This window comes from Homo sapiens, chromosome 8 (assembly GCF_000001405.40).
Source record: "Homo sapiens chromosome 8, GRCh38.p14 Primary Assembly".
Classification (NCBI taxonomy): Eukaryota; Metazoa; Chordata; class Mammalia; order Primates; family Hominidae; genus Homo; species Homo sapiens.
The window spans coordinates 93,741,069-93,762,027 of record NC_000008.11 but is presented as its reverse complement, the minus strand read 5'-3'; the positions used below and the strand labels follow the sequence as shown (position 1 = coordinate 93,762,027).

At 41.1% G+C, this 20,959-nt stretch overlaps 1 protein-coding gene and 1 long non-coding RNA gene across 16 annotated transcripts in view; both read right to left on the bottom strand.

Moving 5' to 3' along the window:
• The window catches only part of TMEM67 (transmembrane protein 67), a 77,810-nt gene extending 70,626 nt beyond the window's left edge, over positions 1 to 7,184 (bottom strand). For 10 of the 14 annotated variants that reach the window (XR_001745619.3, XR_007060761.1, XR_007060762.1 and 7 more), the window contains exons 1-3: positions 6,891 to 7,134; positions 6,162 to 6,250; positions 3,452 to 3,545 (exon numbers count right to left, since the gene is read on the bottom strand). Coding sequence is in view for 5 of the 14 variants with exons in the window: in NM_153704.6 (NP_714915.3) it covers positions 3,452 to 3,545; positions 6,162 to 6,250; positions 6,891 to 7,113 (406 nt within the window). In the remaining 9 variants the exon portion in view is untranslated. Of the gene's footprint in view, positions 1 to 2,034; positions 2,169 to 3,451; positions 3,546 to 6,161; positions 6,251 to 6,890 lie in introns of those variants that run through there. The other 4 variants (XM_006716686.5, XM_047422410.1, NM_001142301.1 and 1 more) reach the window with 3 other exon arrangements.
• RBM12B-DT (RBM12B divergent transcript) lies at positions 17,494 to 20,945 on the bottom strand. Of its 2 annotated transcripts, none has more exons than NR_183449.1 (2): positions 20,305 to 20,945; positions 17,494 to 17,756 (listed from the first exon to the last, which is right to left on the bottom strand). It is a non-coding gene; the product is annotated as an RBM12B divergent transcript (long non-coding RNA). The 2 variants fall into 2 exon arrangements; NR_183450.1 differs by having other exon boundaries at positions 20,569 to 20,945.

The window sequence follows — 20,959 nt, the reverse complement described above, 5'->3', positions numbered from 1 at the left end:
CCACCTCGGCTTCCCAAAGTGCTGCGATTACAGGCGTGAAACACTGCACCAAGCAAAAAAAGATTTAAAATGAAAATTAAGTCTCTTTCCCACTATTCCCAGGCACTCAGTTCTTCACTCAGGAGGCAGCATTGTTAACAGTTTCTTATGAGTCTTTTCAGAAATAACCTGTGCATATACAAGCACATATGCATATATAATGGTCTTTAAAAAGCTAAATAGTGGAATACCAAGTACATAAAATAGTGCTGATAAATAGCAGGTACTCAATAAACATTTGTAGATGAATGAATAAATTATTCCAAATCTTGCTTTTTTACTCAATATATCTTAGATTTCTTTCCATAGCACTATGTGTAGAACTGCCTCTTTATTTTTCCACAATTGCATTCTATACCATTGTATGACTATATCATAATTTAATTGATTGATCTCATCTTGATAGAATCTTATTTTGTTTATAATCTTTTGTCTTAGGAATAATGTTGCAAGAAAAAAACATTCAACACTTCTTCAGGCATACAGTTAAGTGTATCCAAATGAGAAATTTCTAGATGAGAGCTTTCCAGGCAAAGATAATCTGTATTTTTAATTTTGATAAACACCATAAATTTGCTTTCCACAGAGGTTGCACCAACTTAAAATTTTTCCCATTAATACACGAATAACTATTTCCCTGTATCCTTATAAATACATTGTCAAAGTTGAAAAAGTTTCTTTTTTATTTTGAGATGGAGTTTCACTCTTGTTGCCCAGGCTGGAGTGCAATGGCGTGATCTTGGCTCACTGTAACCTCCACCTCCTTGGGTTCAAGCAATTCTCCTGCCTCAGCCTCCAAGAAACTGGGATTACAGGCATGTGCCACCATGCCAGGCTAATTTTGAGTTTTTAATAGCGACTACATTCGTCAGGCTGGTCTTGAACTCCTGAACTCAGGTGATCCACCTGCCTCGGCCTCCCAAAGTGCTGGATTACAAGCGTGAGCCACTGTGCCCGGTCGAAAAAATTTTATAATAAAATCTGGTAGGTTAAAAATAAAATCTCATTTTAGCTTTAACGTACATTTTCTTACTCTGAGTAAAGTTGAACATTTTTTTCTCACGTTAAAATATTTTTTTCTATGTGAACTTTATTTATGACTCTTGGCTATTTTAAAAATTGGGTTATTCATCTTACTTTTATTTATCTGTAGGAGCTTTACATTTATTGAAGAACTTCGACCTCTGTCTATTGTATGCATTAATATTTTTCTTTAGTTTGTAGTTTGGTTTTTGGTATTATAATTTTTATGGCATTTTATAAATTTACCAATTTTTTCTTCTGTGGTTTTTCTTTTTTTCTTTTTTTTTTGTAGACACAGAGTCTCTCTATATTGCCCAGGCTGGTCAGGAACTCCATGGCTCAAGTAATCGTCCCACCTAGGCCTCCAAAGTGACTGAGTATTTTTGGTCATACTTAGGCCTGTTAAACCAAAACTATACAAATTTTTCCTGCATTTTCTTTAAGAACTTTCATATATTCATATTTAGTATTTGACTCATTTGGAGTTTAATTTTCTCAGAAATAAGGTAGAAACCCAACCTGGGTGTTTTCTCAGTTTTCCCAGCATCATTAATCAGTTTTATCCCCACTTATATGAAATGCCACTTTTTTCACATACCAAATTCCTATATGAATTGAATCTATTCTGATTGCCTGTTTTAAGTTCCATCAATCAGTCTGTGTATCCATAAGCCTGTCATATATGTGATTATAGTAGCTATATAACATGCATATTATCTGATGGGGTAGTTCCTTCTTTCCCTTCCCAGAATTTTCTTAGCTTTTCATATAACTTTCCTGTTAAACTTCAGACTCTATTTGTATATTACCCCAAAACAAACAAATAATATCCTGATAGAATTTATTAGGGTCCTTTAAAATATACAGACTGGTAGAAGAGTTGCATCTTTCTAATATTTAATCTTCCCATCCAAAAATAAAGAATGCATTTTCACTTAAAAGCCTGCCTTCATATCCCTCAGTAATACTCACAAATTTCTTCAATTATGTTGTACATTCCTTCTAAAGTACATGCCAAGGTCAGGTGCGGTGGCTCAAGCCTGTATCCCAGCACTTTGGGAGGCTGAGGCAGGCAGATCACCTGAGGTCGGAAGTTCAAGACCAGCCTGACCAACATGGAGAAACCCTGTTAGCCACTAAAAATATAAAATTAGCCAGGTGTGGTGGCACATGCCTATAATCCCAACTACTCGGGAGGCTGAGGCAGGAGAATCGCTTGAACCTGAGAGGGAGGTTGCAGTGAGCCAAGATCACACCATTGCACTCTAGCCTGGGCAACAACAGTGAAAACTCTGTCTCAAAAAAAAAAAAACAAAAATAAAAATTAAAATTAAAAAAAAGGATATGCCTACTTATTTTTTCTTTTTTGTTGCTACTGTATATGAGGTATTTTCTTCCATCACTGTTTATAATAATTTTTAGTCATTCTGTTGGGTGTTTTAAACATACAATCAAATCATCTGTAAACAATGATATTTTACTTTTTTTTTTTTTTTTTTTCATGAGACAGGGTCTTACCCTGTCGCTCAGGCTGGAGTGCAGTGGCGCCATCTCAGCTCACTGTAGCCTTGACCTTCCAGGCTCAAGCGATCTTCCCACCTTTGCCTCTCGAGTAGCTGGGACTACAGGTGCATGCCACCGTAACCAAATAATTTTTTTTTTTATTTGTAGAGATGCGGTTTCACCATGTTGCCCAGACTGGTCTCAAACTCTTGAGCTCAAGCAATACACCTGCCTTAGCCTTCCAAAGTGCTAGGATTAACAACGGCCTACCTTTTCTTTTCCAATGATAAATATTTTTTTTCTCTTACTTAAGTGCATAGTTTGCATCCTTTTCCAGGTCCTGACATTAACAGGAATGCTTACGCTTTTTCCCTATTAAGTATCAAGTTGGCTTTTGAGTTGAGACATATTTTGTCATGTTATGTTAAGGAAATAACCATCTAATCCTACAATATTAAGAGTTTTAAAAAACTCAGACAAAACTTTGTATTTTCTTCTCAATGCCTGCTGATGTTTTAAGTATCATTAATTTGTACAAAAATAATTTTTATAAACACTATTAAGGGCTGGACACAGTGACTGATGCCTATAATCCCAGCACTTTAGGAGGCTGAGGCAGGAAGATCTCTCGAGGCCAGGAGTTCAAGACCAGGCTGAGCAACATAACGAGACCCAGTCTCTACAAAAAATTTAAAAATTAGCCAGCTGCAGTGGTGTTATGTGTGCAGTCCCAGCTACTCAGGAAGCTGAGGCAGGAGAATTGCTTGAGCCACTGCAAAAATATTAAGTAATCACTTAACTATTTAAATTAGTGCCCTTTTCAAATAAAAACAAAAACAAGAATGAAGATTTATCACTACTTCTTTATAAGGAATCTAATTCTTACCTAAAATATGGCCAATGGGACAGTGACATTTTCCTTCGGCAGTTAAGTCACTAGGGCAAGAAATGCAGTTCCAGCCATCTTCTGTAACACCTTTCTAAATTAAAAGAAAAAAAATGCTTTTCTCTTTTTTAATTAACTTTCTTCTTCTAATCATGTAAGTTCAAAATGCCATAAGAGTATGTAACTACAGTGAATATTCAAATAAATCATACATATATGAGCCACATAAAAATTCCCTGGAGAGATAATTCATGCTTATATTCCAAAATGAAGCTCTATATTATCACTATGTCCTGAAAACTATTAAAGGATTAACTCCGGATAATAGTTCTCTCTTCTTCAGGATCTTTAATTCAAATGGATGCCTCTTTCATAATTATTTGTCATTTCGTTTTTCCATTTACAAATATAAAACACAACACAACACAAAAAGATTGAATCAACGGTCAGTTAATAGGTTAATCTTACCTGTTCTAAAACTCTATTCTAATTTTTAAAAATTCAAATACCTAAAAAATTTAGTCCAGGCACAGTGGCTCACGTCTGTAATTCCAGCACTTTGGGAGGCCAAGGTGGGTGGATCACTTGAGGCCAAAGCTTGAGGCCAGCCTGGCCAATGTGGTGAAACCTCGTCTCTACTAAAAATACAAAAATTAGCTGGGCGTGGTGGTGTATGCCTATAATCCTACTTGGGAGGCTGAGGCACCAGAATGGCTTGAACCAGAAAGGTGGAGGTTGCAGTGAGCTGAGATCGTGCCACTGCACTCCAGCCTGAGCAACAGTAATACTCTCTTTCAAAAAAAAAAAAAATTCATTTATGATTCAAAATGGGTAAATTTTATGAAATATATAAATTATACACATAGTTGTTAAAATTGATTTATGAGAATATTTTCTTCTATCCATTTATGGCTTGTACTAGTAAAGGTTTTTTTTTTTTTGAGACAGAGTCTTTGCTCTGTTGCCAGGCTGGAGTGCAGTGGCACAATCTCGGCTCACTGCAAGCTCTGCCTCCCAGGTTCAAACAATTCTCCTGCCTCAGCCTCCCGAGTAGCTGGGACTACAGGCACGTGCCACCACGTCCAGCTAATTTTTGTATTTTTAGTAGAGATGGGGTTTCACCACATTTGCCAGGATGGTCTTGATCTCTTGACCTCGTGATCCACCTGCCTCAGCCTCCCAAAGTGCTGGGATTACAGGCGTGAGCCACCGCGCCCGGCCTAGTAAAGGTTTTTGATAAAGTATGACAGCATTCAAAATTGGGCTTATTATATCATATGGTTTAGGAAAAGCCTGGGGCAAAAAACACAATAATTACAAACACAGATGTAACCAAAGTTTATAAAGAACAAAAATAATGCCACAAATTATTTTAAATTTTGGTTGAAAAGACTGAATTTATCAAGAAATACTCCTATATTTGGCAATACATTTATACAGGACAATTTATTTATTTATTTATTTATTTATTTATTTATTTATTTATATTTTATTTATTTTTTTGAGACAGAGTCTCGCTCTGTCACCCAGGCTGGAGTGCAATGGTGCAATCTTGGCTTACTGCAACCTCTGCCTCCTGAGTTCAAGCGATTCTCTTGCCTCAGCCTCCCAAGCAGCTGGGACTACAGGCACGCGCCACCACAGCCAGCTCATTTTTGTATTTTTAGTAGAGATGGGGTTTCACCATATTGGCCAGGCTGGTCTCAAACTCCTGAGCTCATGATCCACCAGGCTCAGCCTCCCAAACTGCTGGGATTACAGGCATGAGCCACTGTGCCTGGCCTATACAGGACAATTTAAAAATTACAATAACTTAAACAATGTCACTGAAAAAGAAATCTGCTGCGAGACCACTTTTTATTAGCAGCTTTTTATCATGGGTAATTCAGCTAGGATCAATATTTGCAAAGATATAAAATAAATGGTAATCTATTATAATCTATTATAAAGATATAAAATAAATGGTAATATAAAAAGTGGTAATCAGACTTACAAGTAATACAGATAGCTATAAATTGGGACAATTGATAACTTCACATTAAATTCCCAGAATTAATATTTTTTATATGACAATGAGAAGAAACATTACTGTAAATGTCACAACTGTTACACAGACTTTTAATTATCCAACATGATTGAAAAATATATTTATGTTGAGAATTATATATAGTAACTATTTACTAATTTTTTTTAAATTACGATACAATGAAATTACTAACAAAACAGAAACAGACATTATTTAATCTATTAATGCAATTGGTATTTCATGAAATAATTACACCTTAGATATCATTATGAACATCAATAATCATATAAACTGTTGACATGGTAGGTCTAAGACAACTCCACTTGCATCAGTCAAAAGAATATACACATCCCAAATTGCACACATCCCAGACTGCTCTATATATGCCTTATTCATCTAATTTTCTTCATAACCGAGTTATTCTACGAGTAAAAACAAAAACTTAAATTTTTACAGCTTTGTGGTTTTTGGATTTCAGATTTTAAAAGAAATACATTTCTGTTTTCTCCAAGTTTGCATGAAATTTCGCTGATCTCCCAAAACTTACTCTAGTAAAAATAAAATTAGCATAGTAATTTTAAAGTCTGTGGGGAAACATTAAACATTAAATTATATTTTGAAAAATAAAGATATTTAACTTACTACTTTTTACAGGTAAGTTATTTTAAAATAAATTATGCGCACCATGTTTTCTGGGCACTTTTTACAAATAATAGCAGGTCCTCCATTATTAGAGATCATCTGAAATCCTGGTAGACATACACATGAAGTTCCTAAAAAAAAAAAAAAAAAAAAAAAAGCCAATTTTATCCTTGATAAATAAAAATAAAGTTCCCAGATAGTGAAACTTTTAATAAGTCTGAAGATCTTGAGAAGCAGTATAGTGATTAACAGCAGGATTCTGGAGGCAGTACTGCCTGGGTTCAAATCCAGAAATACACTTCTTGAGTTCCAATCGTAGTAATCCTACTCAGTTGCATGACCTTGAACAAGTTACTAAACTCTCTGCCTTGGCTTCCTCTACAATAAAATGGAGAAAAAAAATTGGTACCTACCTCACAGGGTTAGTATGAGTACAAAATTAGTTATTATACGTAGAGGTCTTACACTGGCACACAGCTGGTATTATGCTGCTACCATTTTAAGTGCAAGTATAACTAAACTATTAAACTACTTAACTGCTGCTGGAAATTTTACATTTCTACGTCACTAAACAATATACATGTATTCGGGCCAGGCGCGGTGGCTCACGCCTGTAATCCCAGCACTTTGGGAGGCGGAGGCGGGTGGATCACCTGAGGTCAGAAGTTCGAGACTAGCCTGATCAACATGGTGAAACTCCATTTACGGGGACTAGGGGCCGACCAAGGCGGGAGTGTTACTTTTGCCAGGGCCCACCGCAAACCGTCTTACCTCGGGCATCTTGCCTCTGGTTAGCTCCACAAGGAACACACGAGAGGGCGGAGATATCAAAGTACTGGTTGTTGTCGCACTTCTCCGGCTGCTGGAAAGGGAAAGAGAAGGTCTGGGCCTGTAAGAAGCGAGGGAGGAACAACAGAAGGAACGCGGTCACGGCCCGGGCGGATAAGAGGGACCAAACCGCCATTGCCACCCCAGCCCCACCGCGCGTCGCCATGGTACCGACGCTGGAAGCCTCACAGCCTCCAGCCCCCCATCAGCCTCTGCGGCGGCTTCGCTGAGCTGATTGGACAACCCAAGTCCGGGTACCGGAAGTCACTGCTCGTGTTGCTTGGTTGCTAGGTTACCAACCCTGCGCGAAGTTGGCAGGTCCAGTAAAGAATGGGTTAGAGACCGGTTAACCCTGGAGCCCAGCGATATTTTCAAACGTGTATAGAGTTCCTCTACTTACGATAGGGCTGCCCCCTCCCCGCAATAAACCCATCGTAAGTTGAAAATATCATAATTTGTCGAGTTATAGTTACATCAGAATTTATTCAGACTAGGTAATTTTCACGTTAAAGGAAACATGACTTGTAGTTTAACAATTTGATGTCAAAAAACCCCACTGACTTAAAACCCAGTGAAGGATTACTATAGCTCAAAGACTGAAAAAATAAAAAAACTTTCCTGCCAGGTTTGAGCATAGGAAATCATGTATGCGAGACAAAGTACGAAACGGAAGAAACCATGTTTGCTCATTCTGTTGCCAGCGAAATTTCACAAAGCCCCTGACTCAGTGACTGAACGCAGTCCTCCAGAAGAATGCCCTGAAGACAATAAGTAGGATAGAGCACAAGTTTTCACATCTGTTGCTTGAATCACTTCATTTTTTAAAAAGATACAGTCAGCGATCCTAGCTCTTGCCTCTTCCTGTACGTAAGATAACGTGTGACAGGATTAATGATTATGCCTCTGTAATCTATAACCAGATGTAGTCTCCAAACAAAACTTTGATGAGATTTTGCTCCAACGTAACTTCTGAGCACGTTTAATGTAACTTTTGAGCACATGCAGAACTCCATCCCTTGATGTAGAAACTGGGGGCAGAACAGCTGCTTTGGACCAGTATAACATAAACTCTTTGAAAGACTCTCCAGGGTTGCATTCCTCAGTAAGACTCCGAATAAAACTAACTTTGAGTCTTTAAAAGCCTGATTTTTTTCTTTAGTTGACATGTATATAAAATGAGATCACCTTTACACCTTTTGTGAATAAAGGAATCTAAGCCTGGTGCTGTGGCTCACACCTCTAATCCTAACATTTTGGGAGGCCACAGTGGAAGGATTGTCTGAGCCCAGGAATTCAAGACCAGCCTGGGCAACATAGTGAGACTCCACCTCTACAAATAAAATTTATTTTAATTAGCTGGGTGGGTGGCACATGCCTATGGTCCCGGTTGCTTGGAAGGCTGAGGCGGGAGAACCACTTAAGCCCAGGAGGTCAATGAGCCCAAAGGCTGCAATAAGCTATGATCGTGCCACTGCACTCCAGCCTGGATGTCAGAGACCCTATATAAAAAAAAAAAAAAATCCTGGACAAAAATATGGAAACGTTTAGAGTTAGAGACCACTTGCGAGGCTAAGGTAGAAATCTAGAGTCTAAATTGGAGCCATGGAGGAAGGGAGAGGCAGAAGAGGATGAATAAAGGAGCTATTCAGGAAGAAGAATTATAAGAATTTTATTATTTGGACATAGGAAGTAAACAAACAGAATCAAGGATAACTTCCAGGTTTCTGATTTGGGTGGCTGGGTAGACGGTTGTGATATTAAAGGAAGATACCTGTGGTAGATAGCTTCTAAGCGAAAACTTATTGGATAAAGAAAATTTTAAGGTAGAAATGAAAGTTATAGGAATATTTAACATGGTGGGAGCTAGAGGTATGGATAATAATAGAAATAATAGGTATTAATAGCTTGTTTTTGTTATCAAGCAAATGAGCTCTCTATCCAATGCATGCACAGAAGCCAATACTATGTGGCACAAGCTTTTGAGGAAAAAAAGTCTTTATTTGCACAACTGGTCAGCAAGGAGATAGGAGTGCATTCAAATCTGTTTCCCTGATTTAGAGTCTGGGGTAAACTTATGGGCTTGGAAAGCCAAGGGAAGAATTTAGGAATGTGTCTTGGCAGGCAGAATGGAGGACTTGAAATTTGACCATTTAGAAAAAGGTACGTAGAGGCCGATTTTAGGCCTGATCCTCCAGGCAAATGGACCCAACACTTTTGAAAGAGTTCCAAGTTCAGGTTCCAGTCATGTCCCGGTCTTGGTTCCAAGGAAAGGATTCACTGGTTTTGGGTGTTGTTAGAGGTCCAGGCTTTTTCTATTGCACATGACTGGGCTACATGACTTTCAGTTTTTGGCTCTGTTACATCTAAAAGGTAACACGACATTTTGTTATCAACAGAGTAGGCTCAGTTTGGGCTAGTCCCATGGAGACACTTTTAATGTGTCCGGCATTGCAATATCTCATTTGATCCTAAATTGGGACTGTTATCATCACCTTTAATTTACAGATGAAATAACCAAGGCTTAGAAAGTATAAGTGACTTTCTAAGGTCACACTTAATTCATGGTTCTAACCCTGGTAATTTGACACCAGAGCCCATACTTTTCTTCGGGTTTTTGTTGTTGTTGTTGTTGTTTTAAACTTTAATTTAGGTTCAGAGGTACATGTGCAGGTTTGTTATATAGGTAAATTGAGTGTCTCGGGGGTTTGGGGATCAGATTATTTCCTTACCCATGTGATAAGCATAGAACCCAATAGGTAGTTTTTTGATCCATACTCTCCTTTCACCCTCCACCCTCAAGTAGTACCCAGTATCTATTGTTCCCTTCTTTGTGTCCACCTGTACACAATGTTAGCTCCAACTAATAAGTGAGAACACACAGTATTTTATTTCTTTCCTGTGTTAGTTTGAGATAGGAGGTTGGCAGGACTGATTTCACAGGATAAGATCATAAAGACCTGGCTGATAAAACAGGATAGGTAAAGAAGAGGACTGAAACCTGCTAAAACCAAGATGGTGACCAAAGTGACCTCTGGCCATCCTCACTGCTCATTATATGCTAATTACAATGGATTAACATGCTAAAAGACACTCCCACCAGCACCTTGACAGTTTGCCCCTTGCCATGCCCACTTAGAGAAGTTACCCTACATGGTCTAACAAGGGAGGACGCTCCGTTCCAGGAATTCCCCACCTTTTTCCTGGAAAACTCATGAATAATCCACCCCTTGTTTAGTATATGATCAAGGAATAACCATAAATATACTCAGTCTAGCAGTCCTTGCCATTGCTCTGCCTATGAAGTAGCCACTCTTTATTCCTTTACTTTCTTAACAAACTTGCTTTCACTTTATTCTGTCAGATTGCTCTTGAATTCCTTCCTGCATGAAGCTGAGAACCCACATGGCCACTCAGGCTGAACCCTGATTTTGAGGTTTTCTCTGTGACAAGTTTGCTTTGGATAATGCAGAGCCCACACTCTTAAGCCCTGCTTTTTATTGTTGCCTTTGAATCTCTGGATGTGCTTTTCTGGGCAGGAATAAAGAAAAGCTAAAGGCAAGTAAGTTCAAGATGAGATTAATGAATTAAAATATTACAAAGAAGGTGAAAAACAGAAGTGGAGGTTGTGGTGAGAAAGGGGAATTAGTGAGGTTCAGATCTTACATCTGGGGCACTTTGTGTGGTGAACCCTGTGTTCATTCCCAATCTCCAGACACTTAGTGCCCTTTTGATTTGTTAATCTTTTGTGTGTAACTTGTTTTTTACTTTCTTGAAGTCTTCAGGATGTTCCTCTCTGTGCCCCACCTTCTCATTTTTCTTAATTTTACAGTGATGTGTCTGGGCATGTTTCATTGTCATCTTTTGTGTGGAACACCTGTTGTAACTTTGCAATTCAGCAAAGAAACTCATGTCCTTTAACACTGGGAAATGATCTCTTCTACTAATTATTCCTTTGAAGACTTTCTCTCCGTTTTTTTTTTCTTCTGGACACCCTATTTTTCAGATACTAGACTTCCTGGACTGTTCCTCTAATTTTCTCAGATTATGTTTTCATTTTTCTTTTCTTTTTTCTTTTTTTTTTTTTTTGAGACGGAGTCTCGCTCTGTCGCCCAGGCTGGAGTACAGTGGCGGGAGGCGGGATCTCCGCTCACTGCAAGCTCCGCCTCCCGGGTTCACGCCATTATCCTGCTTCAGCCTCCGGAGTAGCTGGGACTACAGGAGCCCGCCACCTCGCCCGGCTAATTTTTTGTGTTTTTAGTAGAGACGGGGTTTCACCGTATTAGCCAGGATGGTGTCAATCTTCTGACTTCGTGATCTGCCCGCCTCGGCCTCCCAAAGTGCTAGGATTACAGGCGTGAGCCACCGCGCCCGGCGTGTGTGTGTGTGTGTGTGTGTGTGTGTGTGTGTCGGAGTTTTTTTGCTCTTGTTGCCCAGGCTGGAGTGCAATGGCACGATCTCTGCTCACTGCAACCTCCACCTCCTGGGTTCAAGTGATTCTCCTGCCTCAGCCTCCCGAGTAGCTGGGATTACAGGCATGTGCCACCACGCAGGGCTAATTTTGTTATTTTTAGTGGAGTCGGAGTTTCTCCATGTTGGTCAGGCTGGTCTCAAACTCCCGACCTCTGGTGATCCACCCATCTCGGCCTACCAAAGTGCAAGGATTACAAGCGTGAGCCACCGCGCCCAGGCTTCATTTTTCATTTTGTTTTGTTTGGTTCTACTTTCTGGAAGATTTTCCTGCGCGTATCTGTCAAACATTGAATTGAACTTTTCATTTCTTCTATTATAAATTTAATTTCTAAGAGCTCTCTTTTGTTTTCTGGCTATAGCTTAATTATGGCATTCTTGAATTCTTCCATGCTGCAATATCTTATTTCCTAGAATACATTACTAGTGGTGTTTTAAAGTTTCCCTCTGTTGCATAATCTGTTTCTTCAAAGTTATGTTTTGTATAAAAGGCTTTCCTCCTAAATCTTGGGACCTTTTGCCATTTACATACATACAAAAGTGGGTGGCCAGGCGCGGTGGCTCACGCCTGTAATCCAGCACTTTGGCAGGCCAAAGCAGGTGGATCACCTGAGGTCAGGAGTTCGAGACCAGCCTGACCTAAACGGTGAAACCCCGTCTCTACTAAAAATACAAAAATTAGCTGGGCGTGGTGGCCATGCCTGTAATCCCAGCTTCTCAGGAGGCTGAGGCAGGAGAATTGCTGGAACCCAGGAGGTGGAGGTTGCAGTGATCCCAGACTACGACATTACACTCCAGAATGGGCAACAAGAGCGGAACTTTGTCTCAAAAAAAAAAAAAAAGTCGGCACACTGACAAGCTAATTAGAAGCTCTACAAAGATAGGAAGGGCTTGTTGACTGGGCTACAATGTGTGGAGTGATTTGCCTGGGTTGTTTCTTAGGGCAATCCCTCATTCTTCCTGTCCCCTTTCCCTATCCTACTGTGCTGATCAAATTTCTCAGAAAGATTCTTCTCCTTGGAGATTTTAAGCCTGGGTGTAATATTTAGAGGGTGTGAGTTTCATCGTTCACATAACGCCCTTCTTTTACATATATTAAATAGAATCCTTGTTCTTTTGCATATATTAAATAGAATCCTTGTTTGCAAATGCACTGAGAATAAACCTTCAATCTTCTGTTGGAGTTGGGGAGAGACAGGTTTCCAGGTATTGGAAGGAAAGTGCTTTGAAAGTTGATGTTCAACCACTTCTCCTGTTTTCACTCCCCTCCACAAACAGAAGATACTGTCTCCTAAGCCTTTGAGGACTTCTTTGGTGCATGTAAGATTGCTTCTTAGCTCTTCCCACTGTTAATGCAGGATTCAGCTCCCTTGGATCCATAGAAGAAATGGTCACCTATCCACTTGCTTCCCGCTTGCAAAGTTTTATTGCTGTTCCTCTTACCCTATTCTCTTTATTCCTGTTAGTTTTTGTCTTTTTAAAAGTTGCTTCCCTGTTATTTTATTAGAATTTCTGGAAGGAGTGGAGATAAATACCTGTGTTTAAACTGTCACATTAAACTAGAAGCCAAAATAACCTGTTAACCTGTCTTCACAAACATACTCTTGCCACTCTCTACTCCATTCTCCATACCTCAGCTGGAGTACTCTTTTGAAATGCAAGTCCTAATATGTCATCTGCCTGCTGGTTTTCCGATGGAAAGATCAAAGTCCTTAACATGAACCCTAACCCTCAGCATGGTCTGACTTCTTCCTGCAGCCCTGCATTGTCCTGTGTGCTCCTGTGCTCTGTACCTGCACTGGCCTTATTTTCCTTCCCTGGATGCTGCCAAGCCTTTTCATTTCTCTGCCTGGACCACTCCCTCCCCTTCCCAGCAATTTCCTTTTATCTTTTTAACTCCTACTTTCCAAGCAGCTCATTCATTACTTCTTCAGGGAACATCTCCCACCCTTCCTGACCAGGCCAGGGTCTCCTGTGAAATACTTTCACAGTACCATGGACTTCTCGTCCATAGCACTTATCCCTGTAGTAAATTCACATTTAGTTGGGTAATTCTTTCATTGGTTTTACTTTTCTGAACTGCAGGCTTTGTAAAAGCAAGGACCGTGTGTGTGTGTGTGTGTGTGTGTGTGTGTGTGTGTGTGTGTGTGTGTGTGTGTGTTTTGGTCACCACTGCCTCCTCAGCATAGCACTGTGCTTGGCACATTGTAAGCATTTATTTCTATCATTATTTTATTTTTATTTATTTTTATATTTACTTTGAGAAAGGGTCTCACTCTGTCACCCAGACTGGAGTGCAGTGGCACGGACACAGTTCACTGTAGCCTCGGCCCCCTGGGCTCAAGCAATCCTCCCACCTCAGTCTCCTGGGTAGCTGGGACCACAGACAGGCACTAGCATGCCCACCTAATTTTTGTATTGTTTGTAGAGACGAGGTTTTGGCACTTTGCCCAGGCTGGTCTCAAACTCCTGGGCTCAAGTGATCCTCCTGCCTCAGGCTCCCAAAGAGCTGGTATTACAAATGTGAGCCACCTCCCCTGGCCAATTTTATTTTGTTTTCTTATTTTTTCTTAGAGATTGGGTCTCAGCCTGTCACCTTGGATGGAGTACAGTGATGCCGTCATAGCTTACTGAAGCCTTGAACATCTGGGCTCAAGCAATCTTCTTGCCCCAGCCTCCCAAGTAGCTGAGACTACAGGTGTGCATCACCACACCTGGCTATTTTGTTTTTTAAATTTTTTGAGAAGGAGGGTTGGGGGTGTCTCACTATGTTGCCCAGGGCTCACCTCAAACTCTTGGACTCAAACAAACCTCCTGCCTTAGCCTCCTAAGTAGTTGAGATTATTGGTGCGCACCATCACAACTGTTTTACATTGTAAGCATTTAATACACATTTGTTGCAGTGGAAAATAAAACGTGTCTCATTCCTTTCCTTCTTTAGTTTATTGTTGACTTCCAAACCCTGAGGGGAACTTGATGTCTTCTCCTCTCATTTCATCACAAGGAAGAGGACAGAGGACCAATGTGGGTTTGGGTCCAGGACAACAGAGCCTCTGAAACTGCCTTTGCAAAGATTATGACAGTGAGAGAAATCTAACATGGCTTCACCCCATCTTGCTTCTAGCCTCACAGGCTGGGGGTGCTCATTCCTGGGTGAAGGCCAAGCTAACTATGGGAGGAATTTAGTTTCTAGTTTAACTTGAAAGCAAGGATGATAATAGCCCTTTCCTAAAACTAACCCCCCTTGCTCAGGGCCCAAAAATTGCCCTTGTGAAACTAATGAAAGGCCACAAGATTAAGATTTTGAGAGGGGCCTGAATTTTGCTAAACTGTAAATGTAGTTTCTATAATCCCTAATTGCCCAGGAGTCATGTGGCCAGAGGTCACAAGATTTGTGACTTCCTCAATTGCTCCCATAGAAAACATCACTATTGTAAAACCTAAGATTGGTCTTTCGAGATATTTTTCAGACTGACTCCATCTGGATTCATGACTCATGACTCAATTGGTCCTATGCCCACCCCCCAACCCCTCCCCCACCTAGAGGTGGACTCAGTGCAAGAGGACTGTTTTCCATACCTCTATGATTTCATCCCCAACCATTCAGCTGCACCCATTCCCTAATCACCTGTCCACCAAACTATCCTTGAAAAACTCTAACCTCCAAGCCTTTGGGGTGACTGATTTGAATAATAACTCCATCTCCCACATGGCCAGTCTTGCATAATAAACTCTTTCTTTACTGCAATACCATGGTCTCAGTGAATTGGTTTTGTCTGTGCAGTGGGCAGTAAAAACTTTTCAGGCGACCACATCTTGGCCACTGTCCTAAAGGACAGAAGTTTTTTTGTGTCCATATGACATGGTCTTTGTCAGACAGAGTAGGAACAGGACATGGTTTCAGCTCACCCTCACTTAGAGTATTCTTTCATGCATTCCCACTGATCACAAAATCCATACCACTGTCACAATGCTAATAGTCCTTTTACTTAAAGAATTCCAGGAACTGGCCTTAGGAGATAAGCAAGGTTGTGGAGTGCCCTACCTTGGGAAGGAATACTAAACAAATTATTTATAGCCTTGTTGCCTCAGGCCAATCCACCAGGTGGCCCATTACTCAAGATAAGCATTGCAACCAGTAATGCTGACCTGCATACCCTATCCCTGATGACAATTCCCACGCTTTGTCTAATAAAAAAGCCCAACTGACTCTTTTCTTTGGAGAGTCAGTCAGGGAATTCTCTCCCTCTTATGCCTTGGTGTAAGCTCCAATGAAGCCTTGCCTGGGAAAACTTTTTTGGCCTCATGTCAATTTCTATTGCATTGCATTGGGAGCCCAAGAACCTATCGCTGTTAACATTTGAGTTTACACTTTTTGGTCTTCTCCTTAAATTCTCTCTCTCTTTAGAGTTTGTCTTTAGATCCTTAGGTCTTCCTCTTGCTGCTTCCTTCTGTTTTATATACCTGGGATTGGATGGTACCCAGGGGGAAAGGAACACTAAGCAGAAGGACATCCTGTTTTACATGGGGTCTTGCCCCATTTACTAAATGGATTCTCCTGAGATTTGTGATCCAAAGCTCCAGCAGTAAACCAAGAGATTTTATCCAGTATTCTTTCTACATAACTCCTTTCTGAACCTACAACTTTGACAGATTGTCAGTCAAGACCCCAGAGACAAGACTCCCATTTAACTCAGGCAAAAAACTATCCAAGTTGGAATTTGGAGGTCCTGTTCAGTTCTATTTACCATAAATCATTTAATTCTGTTGAGTCTCTTGAATCTAACTTCTGTCACACACAACTGACCAGACCAAGCTCCCTTATTTGATCAGCAGTGTCCAAACTGTGCTCCAATAATCCCTAGGAGTTTTGTAGTTGCATCTCTGAAGACCACTGCAGGGGACAAGTTGGCAAAGAGCATGAGGGACATCAGGGAAACATGCTATCTGGCTTTCTTGGTGTTTTACTACATGTCTTGCTTAATGTTTATATGTATATGTATATGTGTGCTAATTTTTTCTACACAACATCCCTACTATTGTCATCTTCATTTGATACATGACGAAATTAAGGCACAGAGAGATTCAGCAACTAAAGTGATATAGCTGGCAAGTGGCAGAGTTAGGCTTGGAACTATGATATTCTGATTTCTGAGCCAACCTTCTTGATTTCTAAGTTATACTGGAGTTTACTATGTGCTGGGGATTGTGCTGAGTGTTAATGATTTCATTCATTTTTCATGACTGCCCTGTACCGCGGGTACTATTATCTTTACTCTTTTGCTTTTTTTAAAATTTTTTTATTTTTGAGACAGAGTCTCACTCTGTCGCCCAGGCTGGAGTGCAGTGGCGTGATCTCGGCTCACTGCAACCTCCACTTCCTGGATTGAAGTGATTCTCCTGTCTCAGCCTCCTGAGTAGCTGGGACTACAGGTACGTGCCACCACGCCTGGCTAATTTTTTGTATTTTTAGTAGAGACTGGGTTTTACCATATTAGCCAGGATGGTCTTCATCTCCTGACCTGGTGATCTGCCCGCCTTGGCCTCCCAAAGTGCTGGGATTACAGGCATGAACCACCGCGCCCGGCCTTATCTTTACTTTTTCAATGAAGAAATATAAGGAATTTGTTCACAGTCATGAAGTGGCATAGCTGTATTCACACTTGGGTCTGCCTGCCCTGACAGCCCACTGTCTTAATCTCATTATACACACATCTTCCTGTGTGTAATGACTATTGGATTGTGTGTGCTTTCTCCTCTGCTAGAATGTAAGCTTTTTGAGGAAAGAGGACAATATCTTTTCTATCTTTGTCTTTCAGGAGCCTTAGCAAGGTTCTTCTTCTTCTTCTTTTTTTTTTAAATGGAACTGTGATACAGAGGACTTAGCAAGGTTCTTGACTCATAGTCAATGATGCTTAATAAATACTAGATTTGTTACCTACACAACAGGTGGATTTGTTAGCTTGGAAGGTGACAGTCCAATGATCACAACCAAAGCAGATTTAACAAGGGGATTTCATTACTTGCAACAAGTAAGGACGACACTGGGGATAGTTCCTAAAGCAGTGCTTCTCCGAGCAACAGTGAAAACAGTGCTTTTATTGGGCTGGTTAGCTCAGTCATTGTATGTACAGGTGGAGTAAAGGCAGCGAAGACACAATTGCCGATCATGCTTCTACACATGTTGCATGTATAGAAAATGGTGAATAAGCTCTTCCCTGGGTGGGGATTTTAGCAGGATTGTAAGGGGAGTTCACCAAAGTTCATCTTCACTCAGGCATTTCTGGATCTAAATGTTTTGGTTTTTGTTTTTCTGGGGCTGGGCTTTTTCCTAGAACTTTTCTGAAACAACAAGAATGCAAGGTGCAACAGTTACAAGTGGGTACTTTTTCACAGTGCATACCCAAAACCCAGGACCCTGGGTTACAAATTGACTGGAAGTCAAGGTATGGAGGCTCTCAGAGTAGAAATCAAGGCATGAGTTGAGAAGATAAAGGTCCCAGGAGTTGAGAAGATTAAGGAACTCCGAGACCAAGTAATAAAAGGCTCTGCGTGTGGATGCTGAAGACCTAGGAAGGGCAACTGAAAACTCTCTGACACCAAAGTTGTCCGAGAAGGGTGGGTGGCGGTGCAGTGTGGCAAAACACCCGGAAGGCTAATTATCCAAGCAGAGTCACAGAATGGCCACAGCTCAGTGCAGCCACCATGTTTAGGGGCTAGTCTTCTGTTTTTCCACTGGAGAAACTTCATTTTCTCTTGATTCCCCAAAATGATTAGGTTTTCATGCTGACACACCAAAGGCACAAGAAACTGTTCAATAACCAGAATATCATGTGATTATGCTCAAATTACCTTGATCAGAATTTTCTTGTTCTGATTATAATGGTATGACCATCTAAGAAAGGCAAGGGGCAGACTAGAAAAGACATTCAGGCCGGGCGCGGTGGCTCACGCCTATAATCCCAGCATTTTGGGAGACAGAGGCGGGTGGATCACTTGAGGCCAGAAGTTCAAGACCAGCCTGGGTAACATGGCGAAACCTTGTCTCTACTGAAAATACAGAAAAAATTAGCCAGGCATGGTGGCATATGCCTGTAATCCCATCTACTCAGGAGGCTGAGGCATGAGAATCCTTGGAACCCAGGAGGCAGAGGTTGCAGTGAGCCAGGATTGTAACCATTGTACTCCAGCCTGGGTGACAGAGTGAGACTCTGTCTCAAAAAAACCCAAAATGGAGAGACATTCAATATAGTGTCCTCGCTGGAGAAAGACTGTGTGAATAGAAGGAGGATGGTCAGCCCAGAACAATGAAGGAGGCCATGGGAGGCTGGAAACGCCTGTCAGAGCTTGCTCAGGGGACAGAGTCTGACCTGAGCACACTTGGCCAGGTGAGTCCTCCAGTAAGTGGTCATTAAATGATGACTGTTACTTTTGTTAAGATGAGTGAGGATGTCTCCAGGGAGCCTTAACTGAGAATCACCTTTTGAGATTAGGTAACTCATGTTCTATTTCTTAGAGCATTGCTTCTGTATTCTTGTTTAAAGGAGTCCGCTTCCGAGGACAGAGTCCTCTTTCTGTGCAATACAGAGTAATGGCTTCTGCAGGCAAACAAGCAACGTTCAATTTTGCCTGGCTTTTGTAATCCTCTATGCCTCAGTTTCCCTTATCTGTAAAATACGAATAATAATAGTACCTACCTCCAAAAGTAGTTGTAAGAATAAATTGAGATAATGTATACGTCCTGGCACATAATAAATTCTCAATAAATGTTAACTTTTTTTTTTTTTTTTTTGAGACGGAGCTTTGCTCTTGTCGCCCAGGCTGGCGTGCTGTGGCACGGTCTCGGCTCACTGCAACCTCCTCCTCCCAGGTTCAAGTGATTCCTCTGCCTCCGCCTCCTGAGTAGCTGGGATTATAGGTGCCCGCCACCACACCCAGCTAATTTTTGTAATTTTAGTAGAGACAGGGTTTCACCATGTTGGCCAGGCTGGTCTCGAACTCCTGCACTCAGGTGATTCGATCACCTCGGCCTCCCAAAATGCTAGGATTACATGCGTGAGTCACCATGCCCGGCCAATAAACGTTAACTTTTAAGGTCCTGTTCCTGAGACTGCAAGGCCAGGACCAAACTATGGATTATCAAGGTAAATGATATCTAGTCAATGAGCCTACCTCCTCAGAGTGACATCCTCTGCTTCTGTATAGATCACCTTGACATTTCAAACAAGTCACAAATACTTATAATAGTCTCACTTATTTACATATATCTGAGACATACATATTTACTGAATGTTTCCCACAACCCTAAGAGGTAGGTACTAGGAGTATCCCCATTTTACAGATGAAGAAACTGAGGCACAGAGGGGCTAAATAATTTGTCCAGTGAGTAAAAGATGGCTCTGATTTTGTGTTAACTATCTTTTTATTTACTTATTAAACTACCTCTTCTTTCTTATAATCATATCATTAAAGAATGGGTATTTTGCAGTGAGAAAGGGATCCACAACTCACTTTTTCTGTCATCTGTAACAATGTTTTTAAAATGTACTTTCTGCTTAATGAGCTTTGAATCCATCCACAAATACATCAAGTAGCTATACAACGTGGTGGGAAACTTTGTTATTTGCAAATGATAAAACCAAACACAAGGTTGTTCACCAGCTATTACGTAGCAGGCATCACAGAGTACACCTGTAATAGTGCTTTTCCATTACTGAAATTTCAGTACTGGCTCATCTGTTCTCTTGTTTCAAAAATCCAGAAGATGGGAACAAATTTATAAAGACACTTCACAAGGTTATTTATATCTATAAAACCGACTAAGCATGCATTTATTAAGCCCCCAGGTGTTGGGATTGTACTTGGCGAACATCTAAGGCAGTAAAATTACCTTTTCTGTGGTATTCTAGGGTCTACAGGAGCTTTTTTATTTTTGTTTTGAGATGGAGTTTCACTCTTTTGACCTGGCTGGAGTGCAGCGGTGCGATCTCGGCTCACTACAGCCTCCATCTCTCGGGTTCAAGCGATTCTCCTGCCTCAGCCTCCCGAGTAGCTGGGATTACAGGCGCCCGCCACCATGCCAGGCTGACTTTTTTGTATTTTTAGTAGAGACGGGGGTTTCGCTTTTTGGGCGGGCTGGTCTCGAACTACTGACCTCAAGTGATTCGCCCGCTTCGGCCTCCCAAAGTGCTGGGATTACAGACGTGAGCCACCGTGCCCGGCCACAGGAGCTTTTTAGAAGATGTTTTACGCCACACAGTAATGCAACACTGAAAAGACAAGTCGCCTTTTCTCTGCTTTTGCATCTCTTTCCTTAACTTCTGGAAATCTTTAAAGTTTGTCCGCCGTACTTCGACAGTTGTCTACCGAAGATTCTCAGCACATCTACCGGCTGAGCCCTGAATGTGTCTCTGAATTTCTCCCGTTGAAAGTCGAGGTCCCTGGGCTGGGCAGAATCTGGGCATGCGCAGAAGCTCAGCCAACCCCGGGGCTCCGCCTCCCCTCCTCTAGCGAGGGGAAACGGGTGAGCGGCAGCGCGCGTGCGC